This window comes from Homo sapiens, chromosome 12, assembly GCF_000001405.40.
Source record: "Homo sapiens chromosome 12, GRCh38.p14 Primary Assembly".
NCBI lineage: Eukaryota > Metazoa > Chordata > Mammalia > Primates > Hominidae > Homo > Homo sapiens.
This window is the reverse complement of record NC_000012.12, coordinates 90,666,174-90,689,402: the sequence shown is the minus strand read 5'-3', so window position 1 is coordinate 90,689,402 and position 23,229 is coordinate 90,666,174. Positions and strand designations below refer to the sequence as shown.

General features: G+C 34.8%; 1 long non-coding RNA gene across 2 annotated transcripts in view; it reads right to left on the bottom strand.

Annotated features, from left to right (window-relative positions):
* Window positions 1-6,054: 6,054 nt before the first annotated feature.
* The window catches only part of LINC02822 (long intergenic non-protein coding RNA 2822), an 89,782-nt gene continuing 72,607 nt past the window's right edge, over window positions 6,055-23,229 (bottom strand). The window contains exons 2-4 of one of the 2 annotated variants that reach the window (XR_429171.5): window positions 13,995-14,110; window positions 12,791-12,854; window positions 6,055-9,768 (exon numbers count right to left, since the gene is read on the bottom strand). This is a non-coding gene — a long non-coding RNA (long intergenic non-protein coding RNA 2822). Of the gene's footprint in view, window positions 9,769-12,757; window positions 12,855-13,994; window positions 14,111-23,229 lie in introns of those variants that run through there. The other variant, XR_007063577.1, reaches the window with a different exon arrangement.

The following is a 23,229-nucleotide window of genomic DNA, read 5'->3' as shown; positions in this document are numbered from 1 at the left end:
AGCATAGTTTCTACAAACAGAAGCAAGACTCATATACCTTCATAATTTTATTAATTTCAAAGCTACAGAGTATCTCCTGCATTTACTGAGAAAAGAATGCATTAATTGAATTGGCTTTTAATCTAAAAGTTTCATTTTAACATCTCATTTTTGTTCTCATGAATGTGTACATAGTTGTGGCTTGTCTTCTTCATCTTATAGAAAAGGAAACATAGTATATAAGGACACAAATGACCAGATTAAACAGTTAATTAGCCACAGAGCTGAGATTATATGCCTGATCTGAATGAATGCCAGTTCAGAAATCTTCGCGACATGCAATCCCTTTTTACTTGCTTACTAAGAATCTGTTCAACAAGCAGTTTTGCACATGGAATCTACTTCAATCCTGCTGACTTTTCAAAATATAAAGTTATAAATGAAGAAGCAGAAGGATATTTAATGGGTAGTTGAGGAAGAACAAAAGACTAAGTTCATCCACCTCTGTTATTTTTATTTAGTGACAGTTTTTCATACTGAGACTTGAATGTTGTTTTAAGTTCTATCACAAATACTCAGCAATTATTAAATGGCATGTCTAATATTTATAAGATTTGCTTCATAAGAGTTATTGGCTGAAAAATTGTGCTTGCCATTTTACTTACCTTCAATTTATAAAGCCCTCAAAAATGCCCTATAAGAATTTTCTCTCTCCCTTTGACAGAATTACTTTAAAATGAATATTTCTAAACACTCCATTCTGAACAGCGATGAATGATCTAAAATATTAAGCAAGGCACAAATTGTCCATTACAGTTTATAATATCCAGTCAGTGATATGGTAGTGTTCAAGAAAAGTTTATTTGATTTTCAATTATGTTTTCATAGATGAAATGCCTTGTGACATAGCTAATTCACTTTTTAAAATATGCCCACACATTGGGAAAATCTGAGGAGCATTGAGATGAATCCCTTGCCTACTGCTAACTCTTAATAGAATATAATCAATGCATTTATTGTTTATCCAGATAGAGTGAAGTAGTATACCATATTCTTGCTGTCTTAAATGTGTTAATATTTACACATTGTAACTACTGTTATTTAATTTTCATCTCTCTTATCTAATAAAAATCCTTGAGCTCTTAGATGATTTGAAAACAATGCCATGTAATTTGTCTTTGTAAAACCAACAGATGCTAGAATCCTAGAAAAAAAGAAAATAAAAACTACTTTTATCTCCAGTAAAAATGAGCAGAAACTATCAGTTGTTTTCATAATTTCCTTCAAAAAATTAACTGCTGTATTCAAAGCTTACTTTCTAATTCTAAAAAAAGAAAATCAGCATCCAATGATATTTCCTAATAGTGATAGTAAGAAATAAGAGCAATTTGATATTTTTTTAAAAATTTGGTTCCTATTCCCTTATTCCTTGGTTTGCTTTTTCTTTAGTTTAAGAATTCTACAACCAGAATTTTTGCTAACTAAAGAGGAGAGAAAAATAATTACTTTTTTAATTTGTTTTAGTTTATATTTCTTTTTATTTATTTATTTGTTTTTATTTTATTTTATTTTATTTATTTATTTTTTTATTATTATTATACATTAAGTTTTAGGGTACATGTGCACAATGTGCAGGTTAGTTACATATGTATACATGTGCCATGCTGGTATGCTGCACCCATTTACTTGTCATTTAGCATTAGGTATATCTCCTAATGCTATCCCTCCCCCCTCCCCCCACCCCACAACAGTCCCCAGAGTGTGATGTTCCCCTTCCTGTGTCCATGTGTTCTCATTGTTCAATTACCATCTATGAGTGAGAACATGCAGTGTTTGGTTTTTTGTCCTTGCGATAGTTTGCTGAGAATGATGATTTCCAATTTCATCCATGTCCCTACAAAGGACATGAACTCATCATTTTTTATGGCTGCATAGTATTCCATGGTTTATATGTGCCACATTTTCTTAATCCAGTCTATCATTGTTGGACATTTGGGTTGGTTCCAAGTCTTTGCTGTTGTGAATAGTGCCACAATAAACATAGGTGTGCATGTGTCTTTATAGCAGCATGATTTATAGTCCTTTGGGTATACACCCAGTAATGGGATGGATGGGTCAAATGGTATTTCTAGTTCTAGATCCCTGAGGAATCGCCACACTGACTTCCACAATGGTTGAACTAGTTTACAGTCCCACCAACAGTGTAAAAGTGTTCCTATTTCTCCACATCCTCTCCAGCACCTGTTGTTTCCTGACTTTTTAATGATTGCCATTCTAACTGCTGTGAGATGGTATCTCATTGTGGTTTTGATTTGCATTTCTCTGATGGCCAGTGATGATGAGCATTTTTTCATGTGTCTTTTGGCTGCAGAAATGTCTTCTTTTGAGAAGTGTCTGTTCATATACTTTGCCCACTTTTTGATGGGTTTGTTTGTTTTTTTCTTGTAAATTTGTTTGAGTTCATTGTAGATTCTGGATATTAGCCCTTTGTCAGATGAGTAGGTTGCGAAAATTTTCTCCCATTTTGTAGGTTGCCTGTTCACTCTGATGGTAGTTTCTTTTGCTGTGCAGAAGCTCTTTAGTTTAATTAGATCCCATTTGTCAATTTTGGCTTTTGTTGCCATTGCTTTTGGTGTTTTAGACATGAAGTCCTTGCCCATGCTTATGTCCTGAATGGTAATGCCTAGGTTTTCTTATAGGGTTTTTATGGTTTTAGGTCTAATATCTAAGTCTTTAATCCATCTTGAATTAATTTTTGCATAAGGTGTAAGGAAGGGATCCAGTTTCAGCTTTCTACATATGGCTAGTCAGTTTTCCCAGCACCATTTATTAAATAGGGAATCCTTTCCCCATTGCTTGTTTTTCTCAGGTTTGTCAAAGATCAGATAGTTGTAGATATGCGGCGTTATTTCTGAGGGCTCTGTTCTGTTCCATTGATCTATATCTCTGTTTTGGTACCAGTACCATGCTGTTTTGGTTATTGTAGCCTTGTAGTATAGTTTGAAGTCAGGTAGCGTGATTCCTCCAGCTTTGTTCTTTTGGCTTAGGATTGACTTGGCGATGCAGGCTCTTTTTTGGTTCCATATGAACTTTAAAGTAGTTTTTTCCAATTCAGGAAAAAAAATTACTTTAAAGTTCACAGAAATATTTTTACCATGTTGTACTTTAAGTTCATTATGTTACTTTTTTATAATAATGCTTCTGGAAAGTCAAAAAGTTGAAGATAAAACATTTAATTTTAAGAGTACAGATGATACAAAAATTTCTTTGACAATAAATTATTTTTTAAAGTAGGTTTTAGATAATTAAGGATAGCATGATCTCATTTTGTAAAATAAAAACTATCCCTCACAGAAACACACACACACACAAATATAGTTGTTTATACATATATATCTCTAAATAATCATAGGATAAATTTATTGAATTCCCTTTTATTTTTAGCTTCAAAGCACCATATTCACCTACTTTTTTCTCTTACATCTCAGGCGTTTATTCCTGTTTTCCTTTGCTAGTGTCTATTCCTTCTAGCTCCTTAAATTTCAGAATCAGCCAGGGCTCTGTTCTTGGATCTTTTCTCCTGTCATCTATAATCACTTCCTAGATGATTTTATCCACTCACTGTCCTTAAATACCATCTCCATGCTGATGATCCCTGGATTTATATCTCCATTCTGAATCTCTTTCCTGACCCCAAACTCATATCCAATAACCTACTTATATTTTCACTTGAATGACATATAATCATCTCAAAGTTAACATGCCTAAAGTTAAACTTCAGATTCTTAAACCACTCCAAACTTGCTCTAACAGTCTTCCCATCTCACTTTATGACATCTCCATCTTTTCAGTTGTTTTGGCTTAAATACTTGGAGGTATTCACAAATCCCCTCTTTGTTCTATACCCCACATCTAATTCATTAGCAAATCCTGATGGCTTTTACCTTCACATTATACCCCAAATTCAATCACTTGGCTAGTACTACACTGGTTCCAAGCCGTAGCTGGCCTGAATTATTGCAAATCCTTGTCATCTCCCATATCCACCTTCTTTCCTTTTAAGTCTTTTTTTTAACACAGTCAACATGAAAATGCAAAACTAGAGGGAGATAATTCCACTCTTCTCTCTATGTTCTCTAATCTATTGTTAAAATCTACTTCATAGGAAAAAGCAAAGTACCATCATGCATCACATAACAATATTGTGGTCAACAACAGACCACATATACAATGGTGGTTCCATAAGACAATAATGGAGCTGAAAAATTCCTATCACCTAGTGGTGATGTTACAGCCCTTGTAAGGTCATAGCACAATGCATTACTCACCTGTGTGTGGTGATGCTGGTATAAACAAATCTATTGCACTGATAGTCTTAGAAAAGTATAGCAGTACAATTATGTACAGTACATAATACTTGATAATGATAAATCTATGTTTATGGTTTATGTATTTACTAGAGTACTTTTAAAATAATTTTTAGAGTGTACTTCTTTTACTTATAAAAAATAAATAAAGTTAACTGTCCAGCAGCCTAAAGCAGGTCCTTCAGAAAGTATCCCAAAATAAGTTATTGTTATTATATAAGATGACAGCTCCCTGCCTGCTATGTCTCTGAAGACCTTCCAGTGGGATAAGACGTGGAGGTGGAAGACAATAATATTGATGATCCTGACCCTGGGTTTGATGAAATTCAAAGAAATTTATCCTTGAATTTAGGCTAATGTGTGTGTGTGTGTGTGTGTGTGTGTGCTCATTTTCAGTGACAAAGTTGAAAATGTAAACAAGACTTTAAAAAGTTAAAAAAATGGAAAAAAGCAATAGAATAAAGATATAAAGAAAAATATTTTTGTACAGTTGTACAATGGTGTTTTAAGCTAAGAGTTATTACCCAAAAGAAACAAAATTTTTATAAAGTAAAAAGTTTAAAAAGAAAAAATTATAGTAAGCTAAGGGTAATTTGTTACTGAAGAAAGAAAATAACTTTTTATAAATTTAGTGTAGCCTAAGTGTACCATGTTTCTAAATTCTGCAGTAGTGTATAGTACAGTAATGTCCAGGCCTTCATATTTACTAATCAGTTACTCACTGACTCACCCAGGGCAACTTTCAGTCCTGCAAGCTTCATTCATGGTAAGTGTCCCATACAGATGTAACATATTTTATCTTTTATGCCATATTTTTACTGTACCTTGTTTTATTTAGATAAGTTTGGATCCACAAATACTATTGTGTTACAATTGTCTACAGTATTAAGTGCAGTAACATGCTGTACAGGTTTGTAGCCTAAGAGGAATAGGCTATAGTATATTTGTGTAAGTACACTCTATGATTTCACAAGAATATAATAGTAATTGCATAACGACATCATTGCCTAACGACACATTTAGAATATATCACTGTTCTTAAGCAATGAGTGGCTGTACTTATTATGATATGGATCCTTGGTTCTCCTCCACCCCATACCCACCGAGCAATTCTGTCACTTTCTTTTCTTTCCTTTCCCTTTATTTTATCCACACAAGTCTCCTTGCTGTCCTCATATATGCTAATCAGACTTCCAACTCAGAGTTTTGCTCTTACCATTCCATTTGCTTGGAATTTTCTCTGCCAGAGATTTGCATGGATGGTCTGATCGATTCTTCTGTGACATTTTCCCTGGCCACTGAATCCAATATTTCAGTATGTTCTCCCCCAACAGCTCCTGTATCTAACCTAATGTTATTTTTCTCCTTATCATTTATCTTTTATTTTTCTTAATTTCCCTTTGCTTGTATGTATTCCTCATCAAAATATAAGGTCTGTGAAGGCACCTAATTTTTTCTGGTCATTCTCTAGCCTCAGGGCCTAGAACAGTTTCTGGAACATGGTAGGGCTCAATAAATACTAACAATAATTTTCTCTAAACAATAGAATTAGTAAAAGGGAGACTTTCAGTTCTTTACACATCATTTTAAAGACTATGATAATGAGTGCATTTTAGTTTTTTTTACTTACATATTTCAAAAATAATATGATGGAACATTCCTTTTAAAATTAGAAATTCTAGTAACAACTTTCCCACTGGTTTATCATTTGAAAATTTAGGGTCTGAATATTTAATATTCTTGTCAGATCATGTTCACATAGATTAAAAATGAAAAGCGATGTTAGTTGCTCGTATAGGTGCAATGAATGACTTATTATTACAACTCAGGACAACCTGGCAAATGTAATAATTTATTTATACCAAGCTAAGGAAGATTTAGGTTACTGTGCCCATCAGCCCTGTCCATAGGTGGAGATTCCATCAGAAGAGCAAGACAGCAAGAATTCTGCATAGAAAGCAGCTCCAAAAAGAGCAACAGGATGGGAAAGCCGATGTGCAAATTCAGAATTCTAGGTAATAAGATAAAATTGTGTGGATGAAACTGCTGATGATGGATAATGGGGCCTTGGCCTTTGGATTGGGATTTAGGTGAGGGGCGTCTTTACATAATTATGGGACTCTAAGAAATCTACTTAAGTGTACAATCACCACTGGGATACGGTAGAAGCTGGCAACTGACTTAAGTCAGAATATAAAGCAGTGATTAAAGCAGAAACCTGACTGTAAGTGGCACTCATAACAATAGGGAGAGAGAAGACTCTGAAATGAGGGATTAGAGGTGAATTGTCTGCAACAGAGGGTCAGCTTTGACTAGAGAAGGCTAGTAGTCAGCACTGGAATTAAATAACTCCTACTCACTCTGGTATCAAGAAGGACTGGGGATCCAATGAAGTAATGCAGTGGTCACTCAAGGGGCAAAGTGCTGTGGGTCTTGCTGCCTAGATTCTGAGGCAGATACTGCATTATTATATTCTGTCTCATGTTTATATTGGCCTGGACCCTGAACTTACAGGGTTGGGATGATGTGGGATCACAGGAATCCAGCTACGCAGTTTTTTTTCCCACAAACTTTTTTTTTTTCACTGTAACCAATTATCTGCATTTAATAATTCAGCCAATAGTCATTTAAACACTTCTTAAATGTCATTCTGAGCTGAGCACTGACAATAAAACAATAAATAAGACAGACTCCGTTCTTATCCTCATAGAACTTTGCTTTCAACCTAACTTTAATCTTTGATGTATTGTCCTATATGGAACAAAGTTTAACATAGTATTTTTAGTTTTGATGTCTTTTCCACTCTTTATACATTTGTACATTTCAGTCTGAAATGAAATGGCCTTTAGAAGGATTTCCCAATGGACTGGAGAACTGATCAGTAATCAGGGGGGTCCTTCCTTTGGTTAATAATAGTGTTAATAATAGTCTGAAGTAATTCTCAACACTGAGTGGTCATAGATGTTCACCTTGGAAAGGATGCTTGAACTTCTGCTAAATCAGCATCCTCATCTTGTATATCTCAAGCCCAGAGAAGATAGAATGCATGACAACATTGATGTAAAATATAGCTGGGATTAAAATGAAAATCTCTTGATACCATAAATGAAAGGATTTTCCTCCATCATGTTCCCTATGAGGCTTCCTACTAAAAGCCATATCTCAGCTAGACTAGATTCTGTATTGGCCAGTCATACCAGTACATACCCTGCCATTCCCCTCAACTTACAGCATTCAGGATATTTCTCTGTAAAGAAAAGATAATTGGCTTTCCTTTATCTATCTATATTTCTATGTAACATACCAAAAGGATTTCTGCCAGAAACCAAAATAGAACAACTGGAAGCCATTAAAAGTAAAGAGTTACACTATAAATTTCAACCTGAAATACGAAAGTTTTTAGTTTGACTTTGTATATTGAAAATAAAGTCAAAGTTGACACTGAAAACATTATTTATCAATAGACTTTGGAGAAAAAAATGAGTAAAATAATAATTAGGTTCATAGGTACTTCCTTCAACATATTTTTCTCTTTGTTTTCACCAGTCAGAACCATTTCTATGCAAGAATCAGTGATAAGTAAAATCTAAGTGTTGGGGAAGAGGAGAGGGAGGCAGATGTCTCTTTGCCTAACTGACCATTGGTGTAATTCTCAGGTGGTTGGTTGGTGCTGCTGCTGGTAACCAGTGACTGCCCATGGGTGATTCTATACAACAGGTGACTGTTCACTGACTCCTATGAAGACATGGGAGAGTTATTCTCCTGATAGCACACTTACTTGAAGTGGTCATCAGTCTCTACCACTATCTGTCCATCCTTCCCTTACTTCCTTTTCCCTCATGTTTTCACCCAGGTGAAACCAGCTCAACATGCAGTTCAAAGACATTCTGGAAGGTAAAGGGGGCACCCAAACCACAGCATACACATATTGCTGGCTTCCATCTCTGTGGGGCTTTATGTTTTATTTAGCAATTTGATTTGATCTTTCCCCCAAATTCTCCACTGACAGACACACTGAGAAAAAAGCTCCTTGATACTACAGAACTCACGCTCTAACCACCTGAGCAGTGTTGCCTTCCAGCCATATTTGCTCTCATCACAATCTAGTTTCACTGTGGAACACTGAAGTCTCTGAATCAGCAGAGGCCACTGTTGATTCCACTGGAGAGAAGCATCCTCCATGCTAGTGAGTTTTTCCAGTACTTATGCTGAGAACTCTTGGGGCTACTGGAAGAAATTCTCTGCAAATTTCTTTGGAGACTTTGAGTGCACTGCTGAAAATGGATGTAGGCCAAGCAAAACAGGTAACTGAATATTTGGGTTTCAGCCCTAATATGTCTAGAACACCAAAGCCAGTTTCTTCCTCTATTATTTCTTTTTTTATTATTATCCTCTGCCACATAAAATGAAAAGTCCTTTAGCCACCCATACTCGATTATTGAGGACCCAGTTCTAAGCATTGTGGGTATAGTGGTAATAAGAGAGTCACATGGAATGTACATAATGCACTAATATGCTGTAACTAGTGCATTAAGGACTCTCACATCTATGGTATAAAAATATTAACTTTTTTCTCTGATGTGTTTTCTATTGAATCCAATTTTTGTTTATTAATCCTTTCTTGGGATGATTCCATAGTTCTCTGGGCATTTTTGCTTATTAAATGTTACTTTCTTCTCATTTAAAACTTGTCTCATATTTGATTCATAGCCCTACAACTCTCCTTTCATTCTGTAGGCAATAGCTCATCCAAATTATTGGGCACAGAGAGGAGTGAGGGGCAAAGAGACAAGTCCTTTTCCCAACTTGTGATTGTTGTCACTTTTCTGACAGTTACCCCTTGGCGGCTGGTACCTTCTGTATGGCAGGTATCCAAATTCTGGTATATTGTCAGGCTCTGACATGAGGTTTTCACATGTTATTCTTAGGCTTCTAACCATAGATCTGCCATAATTTGGGGGATATTACTTTAATGCTACCTCTTTCATTATCTCAGCTCCCAGTACACCTCATAGTCTCTAAATGCTGGTGTCACCTGGATTAGATACAAGCAAAACAGCTAGAGCCTAATAATCTTATAGTGTATTCACTCATGGGAAACAGCCACATACCTGCCACACCAATTGGTAAGACTTCAGGTGAGTTTGACATTCTCTCTCCTTCCTTCTTGCTAAGTCATTACCTGCCCTTTAAATAGGCACATTGCCATAAAGCATGAGTAATCACACAGTGGAGAATCAATGCCAATCCCCAATTCTTGTAGACACTCTTGATTTCTACTCTTTACTTCATCGGGCTTTGGAGAAGGGGTAAAGGAGAGTACCCCTTTTTCTTTTTCTCAGCCATCTCTGTAGATTGTTTATGGAAATGGTGCATGTTGCAGGGTTGGGAGTAGGGCCAATTTTGCTGCCTTCGAGTAAACCTGAAAGAGAATTGTCTGCCTTCAGTTATAGGAGTTTCCTTTTTCATTTCATTAACAAAGAAAAAGAATATAGGGATATTCAATATCTCTTGTTTTCAACTGTGAAAACAAGTTGCCAATTCTAGTAAATCCAATAAACATTCTTTACCAACAAAATCCTAAATAGGCAAATATAAAAAATAATAAATATATGAAAACAAAACAAAGTAATTTGGCAGGTATGGCAGATCAAGAGGTTTTAAAAGTTCTCCTTGTGAGCCCATTTAGCTAAGACCCAAATGATCAAAAGTTTTAATGAGGTGAAGATTTAAAAGAAAAAGATCTCAGATAATTGTAGGCAAAATAAATAATTAGTGAGTAAGTGAAAAGTTCTCAGATTGTGAATGAAACTAGCATATATGAAGAAGGGAAACATCAATGCAGATGTAGAAAAGTTTCACAGAGGTGATATGAGAGTGGATAGAAGTGAACACAGAGAGAAGATGGTGGCTTAAAATTAAGAGGTAGAGTTGACTCAGTTGAAGTTGGATGTATTTCAAGGTAGAGAAGAGAATTTGCTAATTGTTTGGATCCAGGTGCAAGCAGTGAGACAAAAGGAAAATAAAAATTTACCCTATGGTATTTTACTTCAACAGCTGTAAGGATGAAGATATCATTTACCAAAAAAACACAGATTAGAGGAAGAAAACACTATTTTTTTTGTATTAGTTTACTAGGGCTGCCATAACAAAGTATCACACACTGGGTGGCTTAAACTACAGAAGCATATTTCTCACAGTTCTAGAGACTAGAAGTCTGAGATCAAGTTGTTGGCAGAGTTGGTTTCTTCTCAGGCCTCTCTCCCTGGCTTGTAGATAGCCATATTTTCCTGTATCTTGACTTGGTCTTCTTTCTATAACTGCTTTTTGTCCAAATTTCCTCTTTTTATAAGGACACAGGTCATATTAGATTAGGGCCCAGTCTAATGATTTCATTTTAACTTATTGTAGTAGAGGTTAGGACTTCAAGAAAAATTGTGTTACACAATAGTTTACTTATTTATTTATTTACTCATTCAGCAAGTCTTAAACAATCATAGCTACACTGTTGAATGCTAGCATTATTTTACATGCTTGACATATATTAACTCATTTTAATCCCCCAAAACTCTATGAGGTAAGACCTATTATCATTCCCACTTTGCAGTTGAGAAATCCAATATATTAAGAGGCTAAATAAGTTGTCTGAGGTCAAACAATTTGTAAGTATCAAAGCTGAGAATTCAGCCCAAACAGCCTGACTCTAGAGTCCATTCAGTCACTACACCATGCTTCCTTTTCTGTAAGTACAATTATGTAACTCAGCATCTTTGAAATGATACCTACATGCCTGTTATGGGCTAACACAAAGAAATAGCAACTGTGCTACTAGGTTAGGCCAGCCTAGCGTCCAGAGCAGATATTCATCCTTGGACCAGCCTTTCAATTTGGCAGTCATTTATGCCCTGCAAATAATAGGTTATAGAGAAAAAAGGGGAGTTTGGGCATGATGAGGTTAGAATTTTGGTAAAGGTGTTGGAACAACATGCAATAAACTTGACTGGAACTTTAGTGAGTCTACAACTTTCTTAAGAAGGGCTCACATTTAGTATCACGGTCAAGCTAGAATGAGCCCCAAGAGTGTGGACGGGTCTGAGTCTAAGGGTTAAGGAAGCAAGAAGACCAGGCATAAAAAGTTAGAACAGGACTGGATAAAGCATGCAAACTCAGGATAGTTCCTTCCTTTGCTCCCAATTAAAATGAATTTCATTTCTCTGCAAGGTGAATTTCTGCTCCAGCTCTACATTCCTTATATTCAGCTGCAGCACTTGACGTTAAAATTAAATTTGGAATCGCTTAAGAAAGAATTTGGACATAGGCCAAAGGTAGTCAGAAAGTGAATGAAAATCTTTTTGAAAATTTTGTTGGTGATGAAAAATCTGGCACAGGAAATCTGTCTGGCAGCAAACCTATCTTTTGAAACAAGAAATCAAATGTTCGTGACAACATTCTTTGTTTTACAATGGATTATTTGTGTCTTTACTATTAATGCTTTCAGGAAATATATTTATTGAGAGATAATCATCTTTATATCGCTACACTAAGTACCATGTGAATACGAAGCCTTTTACATCTGAGATATGCATTTGGAGTGGAATAGCTGTGAATAAGAAGCTCATGCTTTGAAACAGGAGGGATACTTCGCTAAGTGACCATGAACACATTCTATAACTAAGTTCATACTAAGTGCATGTTTAGTTTAGAGGGAGGAGAGAGGGAGTTTTGTGGAGTGCTGTAATACTGTGAAGTTTGAAATATATAGTTGAGGGTTAGGAACACAGATTCTGAACACATAACCTTGTATTGGGCTCAACTTTGTAGAAACAGCAACTGAAAATAAGGCCAAGTTGGGTTATCTCCTCTTTCTATCTCAGTTTCCTTTTTATCTCTTTGAAGTAAATGAGATCATGTGACACATTTAGCACAATGTCTAGGAAAAGTATTAGCCATTAATTGTATTACCATTTTGAGTATTATTTTAGAAGAAGCAAGGGCTAGTATATGAAGGTCTTAATAAGTGTATTAGGTTGTATTTGAAATTGTAGATAGTGCTAAAGTCTTGAGTGGAGTGGAGTGGGGGGAGTGACAAACTGAATAAAATGATGCAATTTCATTTTATAGTACGTTGAAACTAAATTCAAAAAGCATAAGAATACATTACTTCTTTTTTCTTCCCAGGTATGTGAATCTTCATAAACACAGATTATCTAGTTAGAAGTTGAGAAAACTATTTGATTTTTTAGAAATGCCCTATTTCTATAATTTCAATAATCTAGGCATTTAAACCAATGCCCCCTTTCTTTTTCTGACTATTTGGGGCTATTTTACTAATTGTATATATCTTCAAAAGTGGAGTGTAGAAGCTTGGAATGGAGGTAGAACACAAATTAGATTTTTCTACTTGCCTGGAGAAGTGCAATACTGTTGATCAACTCAGGACTTACTTGTGGCTTTCATTGTTTCTTATTTCCTCTATCGTGAATGTACTGATGGGATTCTTCTTTCACGCTTTGGGAGAAGAGACAGTGAGAGAAATGATCAGACAATGAACAGTTATCCAATTTCAGAGCACAAGTTTTCTGGTACATATTAAGTGTTTTGTGTTTAATTAGTAGTTTAATAGATCAAATTGCATATTTTTAATTACTCAAAGCTGTAATGAAAAGAAATAATGCCTGTATCTCATTTTTTTCATACGAACATTACTAATTACTAAATAATGGTTTCATGACTTGTAACTGGGTTAACCAGTTATATATCAAGTATTTTGTGTTTAATTACTAGTTTAATAGATCAAATTGCATATTTTAATTATGCAAAGCTGCAATAAAAAGAAATAATGCCTGTATCTCATTTCTTTCATAGGAATACTACTAATTACTAAGTAATGGTTTCATGACTTGTTACTGGGTTAACCACATACACGGCATACTATAATATACCAGTTTTATATCAGTATCAGATATTATATAATCAAAAATAGTGTCCAAATGCATATATTTAAGACAGAAGCATTTCCTACGCCAGTTAGAAAATAGGATTATCCAATTACAGTCACATTTAGTTTAAAAAAGTACTGTTACTACCAGAGTAAATAAACTCTGCTTTAACTAATTCAAATATCCTTAGTAAATTTTGGTTATTTTCTGAAATATTAATTCTTTATTTGTAAAATGTGAAAAATACTTCATATACTGAAATAATTTGAGAATAGGGACTTAATACATACTTTCTGATGATATCTGTGAAGAATAAGTCTCTAGGCTAACTTAAATGCATCTATTTGTCTTTGTATTGTTATAATGGCATATAAATCAGTCCAGAGAGCAGCTTAGCCTTATTTTTTTCTTAGAAGTTCATTTATTTGTGCAAGATTTCTTTTCAAATCCATGTAGATAAGTCCAGAGTCATTGGCAGTGTTCTGGAAGAGTTCCTTCATTCTTCTTTTCTATTCCTTGCAATATTATTTGTGTCCAATTTTGCATAAACATTCCAGTACTATTGTTCAAGAATGTTAATGCATTTTGATTTGCACAGATGGAACCAAAAGTAAGTAACAAAAACATTAATTGAAAATAAAACATTTATGTTTCTTCAAAAGATTGTAAGAGATTAAAAAACATAAAGACCTGTAACAAATTTCCTTACCTTTCTCCACTTAGCAGTGTGACACTGGTCATTTACAATTCTAGATGGCATCAGTACAGAATGCAAGCATCTCTTTGAAATCAGATATTTCTGTGGACTGTCACATTCTAGGGAGGCTGCAAAAGAAGAACAGGCTGGGTGGAACAAAAATAGTGAAGAAGTATGGGAAATGTAGTAAGGTATGGTAACTCAGTAACAGTGTTGCAAGTAAAGGGGGAACAAAAATAACATTTGAAATGTAGAGATACTAATACTTCAACTGATTTAGTCTGTGCCATCGTATTTCCTGATGCCCCTGGGATAGGCAAATATAGTAGAAGACTACAAAATGATTAGCTATAATCCATTGTTGTCATGCTTCTGGACTTGGAATTTTTGGAAAATGGATTTGTATGTGCTTGCGCTTCAGCCTGGAATATTCAAACAGCCTCCTACCTGGGGTGAAAGTAAACTTCCTAATGTACTCATTTAGCACTTTCCATCCTACTCAGAGCGCTTAAGAGCAGATTAAAATTCTGATGGCCACTGCTACAGATTCACAGACTATGTTTTTTTTTGGCTTATACTATATGTTTAAAAAGCCAACATATTAAAATTGCTATGGATTCAACGTCTAGCCCTTTGTAGAAATTGTTAAATCTAGCAGTACAAGCCCAAATTTCCTCATTGCCACAATAAAATGGATTGATAAAGGCATGCCCTTGAGCCATGGAATATATTCTCTACTGTCCACATTATTCCCTTCTGTCTCCCTGACACTGTGACCAACTAATATATTAATTGGTATTTATCATTAATCTTATAGCCTATTTTTTAGCTTTTTTAATACTAGAAGATCCTTTTTAAATCTGCTACATTTTTGTCATCTTGGGAACCTACTAGTAAACTGAATTTGTGGCACCTACTTTTTTGACTCTTCATTATCCATGGTCCATGATTAAAAGTACACTAGTCAGTCTGACATACATTTAATATTCTCCGATTGTGTCTCAGTCATTCATTCAGCATGTGTTTATTGAGTGCCTACCATTTGCTACATACTTCGGCAATGGTGGTAGTGTTATTGGAAAGGATACAAGGATGAAAAAAAGCACAATTTCTGCTCTCGAGAGTCTCAGACTCTCCTCAGACTCTATGAGGAAAGAGAGATTGTATAGCATTTTAATTCCATCCTGTGAGAAGTAAGGAGAGCGTTCATAAAACATTATTTTTATAGAAGTACACAGGAGATGAATATCAGTTGAAACTCAGGCTGGAAGATCTAGGAAACTTGAACAGAGGAGGTGAAAGACACCTAGACTATGTTCTAAAGAACTTCATGAAGCTTTTTAGATAAACATTTAATGTTTGTGAAAATAATAATAATAATAATAATATCCATAATTATTTCACACCCCGTTTATTTGAAGATACTCCTTGCTTTTTTTAATAAAAGCCACCAGAAATCCTTGGGTCTCCCTTTCCCCCCTATAACTTTATCTTCCTTAGAATAAAACCTCTGGAGGTTCAGCACTGTTTCCACCTCCTTCTCTTGCCGTTGAAACCTCAGAGCTCAAAGACACTTTAAGGACTTCACCCAATTCTAGCTTAGCTGTTGTGTGAATAAAATGCTCTTGTGTTGGCCAGTCTGGAGCAATTTATATATTAATAAGTATGTATTTTCTAAGTTTTGAGCAACTTCTTTGAATAACCTATATTTCAGGATGTGTATATGTGTGTATGTGTCTGTGTGTGTATGTTTAGAGGGTACAGAAATTGACAATAATGAAACATTTTCTGAACTCTTTACATCATTAGGGATTCAAAAATAGTGACGTTGGCTGGGCGTGATGGCTCATGCCTGTAATCCCAGCAGTTTGGGAGGCTGAGGGGGGCAGATCTCCTGAGATCAGGAGTTCAAGACCAGCCTAGGCTACATGGTGAAACCCCGTCTCTACTAAAAATACAAAAGTTAGCGGGGCATGGTGGCTTGCACTTGTAATCCCAGCTACTTGGGAGGCTGAGACACGAGAATCGCTTGAACCCGGGAGGCGGAGTTTGCAGTGAGCTGAGATCACACAACTGCACTCCAGCCTGGGTGACAGAGCAAGACCCTGTCTCAAAAAAAAAAAAAGTAACATTGATAAATTGTTTTCTAACACCAAGAGTTATCATTAATGAAATTAGATATTTTATTGTAGAATCAGATTGTTTTTCTTATATTTTTTAATTCAAGAATGAGTATCTTTAAAAATCTGTAATGTATGAAACAAAATTAATGCATCTTGATTCATTTTGATTTCAAAGGATCTATTTATAAATCCCAGAAGAGATAATATTTGTAAAGATAATTGACAGAAGATGAACAGCAAATATTAGTGCTTGTAGTAGGACTGACCAAACATTAATACTTACCTTGGGAAATGGATTTGTCTTTTGAGTTGAAGCAAACTCTATCTCGTTCAGAATGTAGATTTATTTATTGTAACTAACCAAAAACCAAATTATCAAATTCATACTTTGAAAAATAAAAATAAAATATTATATATGATTTTTCCTTTTTTTGCCCATCAAGAAATAAAACTCTCAAATGAACTCTATAAATATTTCTTACAAGTGAGCCACAATGTAAATAATAGTTTCACAGTATTCCTAAATTTAAATAATTTAGTGCTCTCCATTTTCCCTTTACATATTAGAAAAGGTATCAAGTTATACTTCAAATTAAACAATTCTAGGTTCTTAATATTTTACCAGTATTTATTTAATCATCCTGGCATTTTAAGCTATACACTTGTATCCTTTCTTTCAATAATTTAACTTAAGTCAATGGCACTCAATATAAAAATTGATTTACTCTGGGAGGTTCAAGTACAACTAATGTACTTGGTATTGAATCATAAATTGAAAGCTATCAATCAGTTTATTGGAAGAAGCTTTGGCTCTACCATTTTGAAAAATGAAATAAGGATTTAATGAAAAATGATTGATTCGACAGTACTTTTCTTTCAATACTTTTTGGGCTGCTTTGTAAATCACAGTTCACACAGGTCACAAATAATTTTACAATTCACTGAAGAACAGGAAATTCCACTTAGATTGCTGCCCACATTCTTCTGTTACTCCAGTTGAATTTCTCTGTATTTTTTTGTACTATTATCATGGCTGTATTCTTGATCCCACTGTGTGGCAGAAATGCCTGTGTCTTAAGTGTCTATTGTTAGAATGTGAAATAGCCTTTGTTGTAAAAAATTACTGGTTTCTTGAGTGAACACACAGTAGTATCTGGAATTGGATGAATAAAACAGAAACAAGCAGGAAACTATTCTACAAGACAGGTATGGGTTAGAAGGAACTGATTTGATAAGAGTCAAACACAAGAAAGCTTTGATGGGCTTATAATATAGTGTTCAGGTATCATATGAGATTCATACAGTGTCAGGATGTCCAATCATATGGACAGGGTACAAAATGGAAAATTTAATAGGCCCAAATTTATTATTTTGTTATCTATCCATGTAAAATGAAACTCTAGCCACTGGATTAGAGGCAGTCTCAGACTATCCCTATGGAAGTGAATGACCATACATTAATAGGGTCAACAAGAAACACAGGTACAGAAACCAGAAATGGAAGTTCAAAGTAAGTCTTTGCTTAAGAGTAGTTTACTTATTTGGCACATATTTATAGATGATTACTACATGCCAAGAATTCTGCCAGAGCTCAAAATGAAAAGTGAGAAAGATACTTATCAGGGATCTCATAGTTTTAAGAATTATTTAAGCACTTTCTCAGATTGTTGTACACAATGAAGTAAATCACTGATTGACAAATGCATACCAGAGATTATGCAAGATTTGATGAGATGCTCCTAACTCATCCTTAGGAGTGATGGATTAAGGAGGGAAACATGTTTAAGGTGGGAAAACATAATGAACAAAGATACTGAATGGAATACCTTTGTTTAGGGTCCAGAAGTGTTTTACTCTTGGCTGAGCTTAAAATGGAAAGCAGTGTGTGGCCAGAGTGATAGCAACTGAAAAAGGCAAATTTCACTTTAAGAGAACCTTGTTTTTCCACTCTATGACAGTTCTACCCTGTATGTGATAGGTCACTGAATGGATTTAAGCAGCGTTGTTTAGTATATGAAATCTGAATCTTTTTTTGATTATTCTTGTAGCCTGGAGGGGTTAAAGCAGAAGACGAAGATTGCAGTTTAGAGACTATTGCAGCAGTTCTTCTGAGAAATGATGGGGCCTGATCCATGAGAATAAGTTTAGTTACGATAAGGATAATGGTGGCAACATATTTGAGACTTATTTAGGAAGTAAAAACAGTAAAACTATTTGGAATGCAGCAGTTACATTAGTGAAGTTCTGTGTGTTCAGTGTACCCCTTCACTTTTACTCCATGGCTCATGGAAAAACTACAGGTTTCAGCCTTCATTGTAGGTAGGGTGGTTTTATGATTGTGTACTGGCCAGCGGAATATAGTTAGAAATGTTATTTATTACTTCTGTTTCCAACTCATAAAACCTTCATTTGGAATCTTGCAGTCATTCTCTTCATCTGGATACATTACTCTGAGGAGTATTCCAAGATCCTAGGGCAGAGCATGGCATACAAGAAGTATGCATCCCTGAATGACTCCAAGCAGCAAAGCCTAGAGAAGCTACAGATTCAGTATTGATATCTATTAAACTTTATTTTATTTAATTTGACATTTGTTTGTTATAAAAGTAATTTATCTTGATGAATACACTAGTGAAAAAAAAAGGAACCAAAAGGAACGTATTTAGATGGGAGGAGACTATTCCATTTTTTAACATGGTGAATTTGAGGTGACTATGAAGTGTTTAGCTAAGTGGTAAAACCCTAAGAGCAGATAAGGTTATTCAGGACAGTACTTGACTAAGGAAAATCATAGATCAAAGATGAAATTCTGAGAGCACCAAACGTGAGGAGCCAGGAATATTTCTTAAAAATGAGGAGCTCAGGCTGGAAAGAGTGGCAGGGTCAAATCTAGAGGGACTTGAATTTCTATTTTAAGGTGTTAGAATTTTGCTTTTCAGATAATGAGAAGCCTCTGTTGGATTTACCCTGGGGAGTCGATATAAGATTTGCATCATGCCTTAGGAGAAAATACAGATGACACATGTAAATATAAAAGCTTGGAGAAAAGTTGGGAGGCCATTACAGTGGTTAATGTGAAGGTGTCTTGGAAACCAAGTAAGTAAAAATGTCAGGGAGAGAAAAATGCTCACAATGGAGAAAATGATCAAAAGTTCCAAATGCAAGAGAGAGTTTCATTTTTATAATGTTGAGTTTGGCAATATGGCAGTCAACAAAGACTTAAGCCATATTGTGATGGGATAAAGCACAGCCAGAAGTAAGGTTCTGGAGACTGCAAAAGTAGACAACTTTTGTGAGATTGTAAGGAGGGAAGCTGAAAAACTGAACTGTAGCTGGAGGCATGCATTTAGTGTTAAGTGATTGTTATTGTTGATTTTTGTTAGGAGGAAAAGTGTATAAACATGTTTATATGCTCGCTCTGTCCTTTTGTGCAGCTATAAATGAATATCTAAGATTGTGTAATTTATAAATAAAAGAGGTTTATTTGGCTCATGGTTCTGCAGACTGTACAGGAAGTGAGGCATCAGTGTCTGCTTCCAGGGAGGGCTTCAGGCAACTTCCACTCATGGCAGAAGGCAAAGGGGAGCTGGCATGTGCAGAAATCACACAGTGAAAAGAGGAAGAAGAGGGGGAAGACTTTTCAAACAACCAGCTCTCACAAGAACTAACAGAGTAAGAACTTATTCATTACCACAAACAGCAACAAGCCATTAATGAGGGATCTGCCCCCATGACCCAAACACCTTCCATTTGGCCCTATCTCCAATATTGGGGGTGATATTTCAATATGAGATTTGGGGGAATAAAAATTCAAACTATAGCATATGCTAAATGAAAAAGAGTCAAAAGAGAAGAAGAGAACACTTAACGATTTTGCAGAAAAAAGGGATAACTAAGATAGCAAAATCTCAGAAGTACAGACAGAGAGGAATCAAAGTCTAAATTGGTGTTTGACTTGAGTGAGACATGAGGGACATCTTATCATCAGAGACTAGAGGAAAGGAAGTGAGGACCTATAGCATCAATGTCTATAAGTGTGGACGCCAGAAAATTGAAATGGCTCATAGCTGATTTGCTCTATATTCTATAAAGAGAGGAGCAAAGATAAGGAATGAGGTACTGGAAAATTCATGTATACAATAGTTGTTGAAGGCACCATTAACATTACAATTAAGGAAAAACAAAAGCTTTTTTTGCATTACCGAATACTATTAATTTTTATTGAAGAAGCTTTGCTACCAGGAATAATGATTGGCATGAAATGTCCAAATCTTCATTTTAATGATTAATTCACTTGTTTGATTTCAATTTCTAATACCAATTTTTGCAGCAATTTTGATATTTAGACACAATAATATTTTGTACTGAATACTTCTATTGCTGAGCTATTGTTTCTATTGACCATGTACATAAAAATATTTGCCACAGAATTAAACAAAAATAAAATAGCACAAAATATATAATCACTTATATAGGGGCTTTTTTCTGCCTCCATTTATTAAGCATCTGTGGGAACACAGGTAGATAGGAAGGAGTTCATCCCATGAGTAATTCTACCTCTCAATTCTCACTTCCCACATATCATCCTAAAGCATGAACATTGGACAAGAAACAATTCTTCCTGAAATAGAAAAACAGAGGATATCAGCTCGTTCTTCGTGAAATAATTTTATAAAATGATTACCTACAAAATAAGTTGCAGGTCGTGCTGATGACAAAAATCAAGACCCTTATGGAAATATAAAATGTTAGTTTTTCTAAAAGACTTTTTCTGAAATATCCAAGTTAAGTTGGAAGCTTTTCAGTGCTCCCCTATCAAACCAAATATGCCTCTGACACAGTACTCTGGGCAATAGAATTGGGCTCCCTTATCTGCCTACCATAATAAACTCAGTTTCTTGGAAATAGAGACTATAGCTTGTCCATCCATATTTCTAGAACTTCGAAGACCTTTTGGTACATTGTATGCAGTCAGTAACTGGTAATTGAATAAAATATCAAAACTAAGTGAATTACTACATAAATAAATAGATGATTGTTGTTATATTCAGAGAAATACACACTCTTTAGTCTGGCCTCAGACCATACAAGTAAAGCTACAATTATTTCTTCAAAATAGAAATGAAACAACAAGAAAAAGAAAATAGGAAAAAAAGGCTTGGTTGTTTGAAAGAATATGACTAGGAACATATATCTAATTTATACTTAATAATAGCTGCTATGATATCCTTTTTTATTTTTTAGAAAAAATAAAAAGAAAATAGGATAAATGCCAAGAAGTAAAATATGCTACTGCATTTAGGAGTAATGGTGCACTACATAATACAACTGGCAAAAAGTTCTTCGTGGTCTATTCTATGTCTCACAAAGAAAAACTTCAGTTAACACTTAAAGTCACTGAATCACAACAGGATGTAAATCATTCAGTATACAGAGCTTTTAACTTAGTTTTCCTGGGCTTTCAAGGGAAAGAAAAAAACCTGAAAAATCTTTCTGCAGGTTCCTAATGGTTACCAAATATTTCTGAGCCCCTTTTTTTCAGTTTTCATTTTAAATTCAATTTAGCTTTGTGAGAAAAGATGGAAAAGGTAACTGAATACTCATTTTATGGCAAATCTATTAGGCTTAGAAATAAAATTATTCACTTCTTAAAATGTATTGCTTTCTCATATTAATAAGGAAATACTACCTCCAATAATTATTATTATACATGGTTGAACTCTTAGTAAAATCAGTTCACACCAAATAATTTCTTATGGGATCAAATATTTAGAGGCTACGTTTGAACTCAAAATTTGCAAATTTTTCTAAAATGATTTTTTAGACTAATTTCCAAATGATTGATAATTTTACCACATTACTTAATGCATTAGTAATAATTTTAAATTGTTTTCCAGTGATTTCCTGTCCTCAAGTTAATTCATATTATTACTACCATTAAATTTAACCTGTCACAAAAAGACTTTATATTATAAAGTTCAAAGAATATTAGAAACACAAATATTAAGGAAAGCACAACATTCTGCAATCTCTGGTGTTTTCTTATCAAACCAAATAAAACTCTGAGCCTTATTATAAAATAATCATATTTTATACACGGAACAAAAATGTATTATGTATTATTTAACCATGTATTATGAATTATCATCCTATCTCTCTCTTTTTATATATATATATACTTTAAGTTCTGGGATACAAGTGCAGAACATGCAGGTTTGTTACATAGGTGATTTGCTATGGTGATTTGCTGCACCCATCAACCAGTCATATACATTAGGTATTTCTCCTAATGCTATCCCTCCCCTAGCCCCCCAACCCCTGATAGGTCCTGATGTCTGAAGTTCCCCTCCCTGTGTCCATGTGCTCTCATTGTTCAACTCTCTCTTATGAGTGAGAACATGTAGTGTTTGGTTTTCTGTTCCTGTGTTAGATTGCTGAGAATTATGGTTTCCAGCTTCATCCATGTCCCTGCCAAACACATGAACTCATCATTTTTTAAGGCTGCATAGTATTCCACGGTGTATATATGCCACATTTTCTTTATCCAGTCTATCATTGATGAGCATTTGGGTTGATTCCAAGTCTTTGCTATTGTGAACAGTGCTTCAACAAACATACATCTGCATGTGTCTTTATAGTAGAATGATTTATAATCCTTTGGGTACATACCCAGTAATAGGATTGCTGGGTCAAATGGTATTTCTGGATCTAGATCCTTGAGGAATCGCCACAGTTTTCCACAATGGTTGAACTAATTTACATTCCCACCAACAGTGTAAAAGTGTTCCTATTTCTCCACATCCTCACCAGCATCTGTTGTTTCCTGACTTTTTAATGATCACCATTCTAACTGGCGTGAGATGTTGTCTCATTGTGGTTTTGATTTCGATTCCTCTAATGACCAGTGATGATGAGCTTTTTTTCATATTCTTGTTGGCTGCATAAATGTCTTCTTTTCAGAAGTATCTGTTCATATCCTTCGCCCACTTTTTGATGGGGTTGTTTGTTTTTCCCTTGTAAATTTGTTTAAGTTCTTTGTAGATTCTGGATATTAGCCCTTTGTCAGAAGGATAGATTGCAAAAATTTTCTGCCATTCTGTAGGTTGCCTGTTCATTCTGATGAT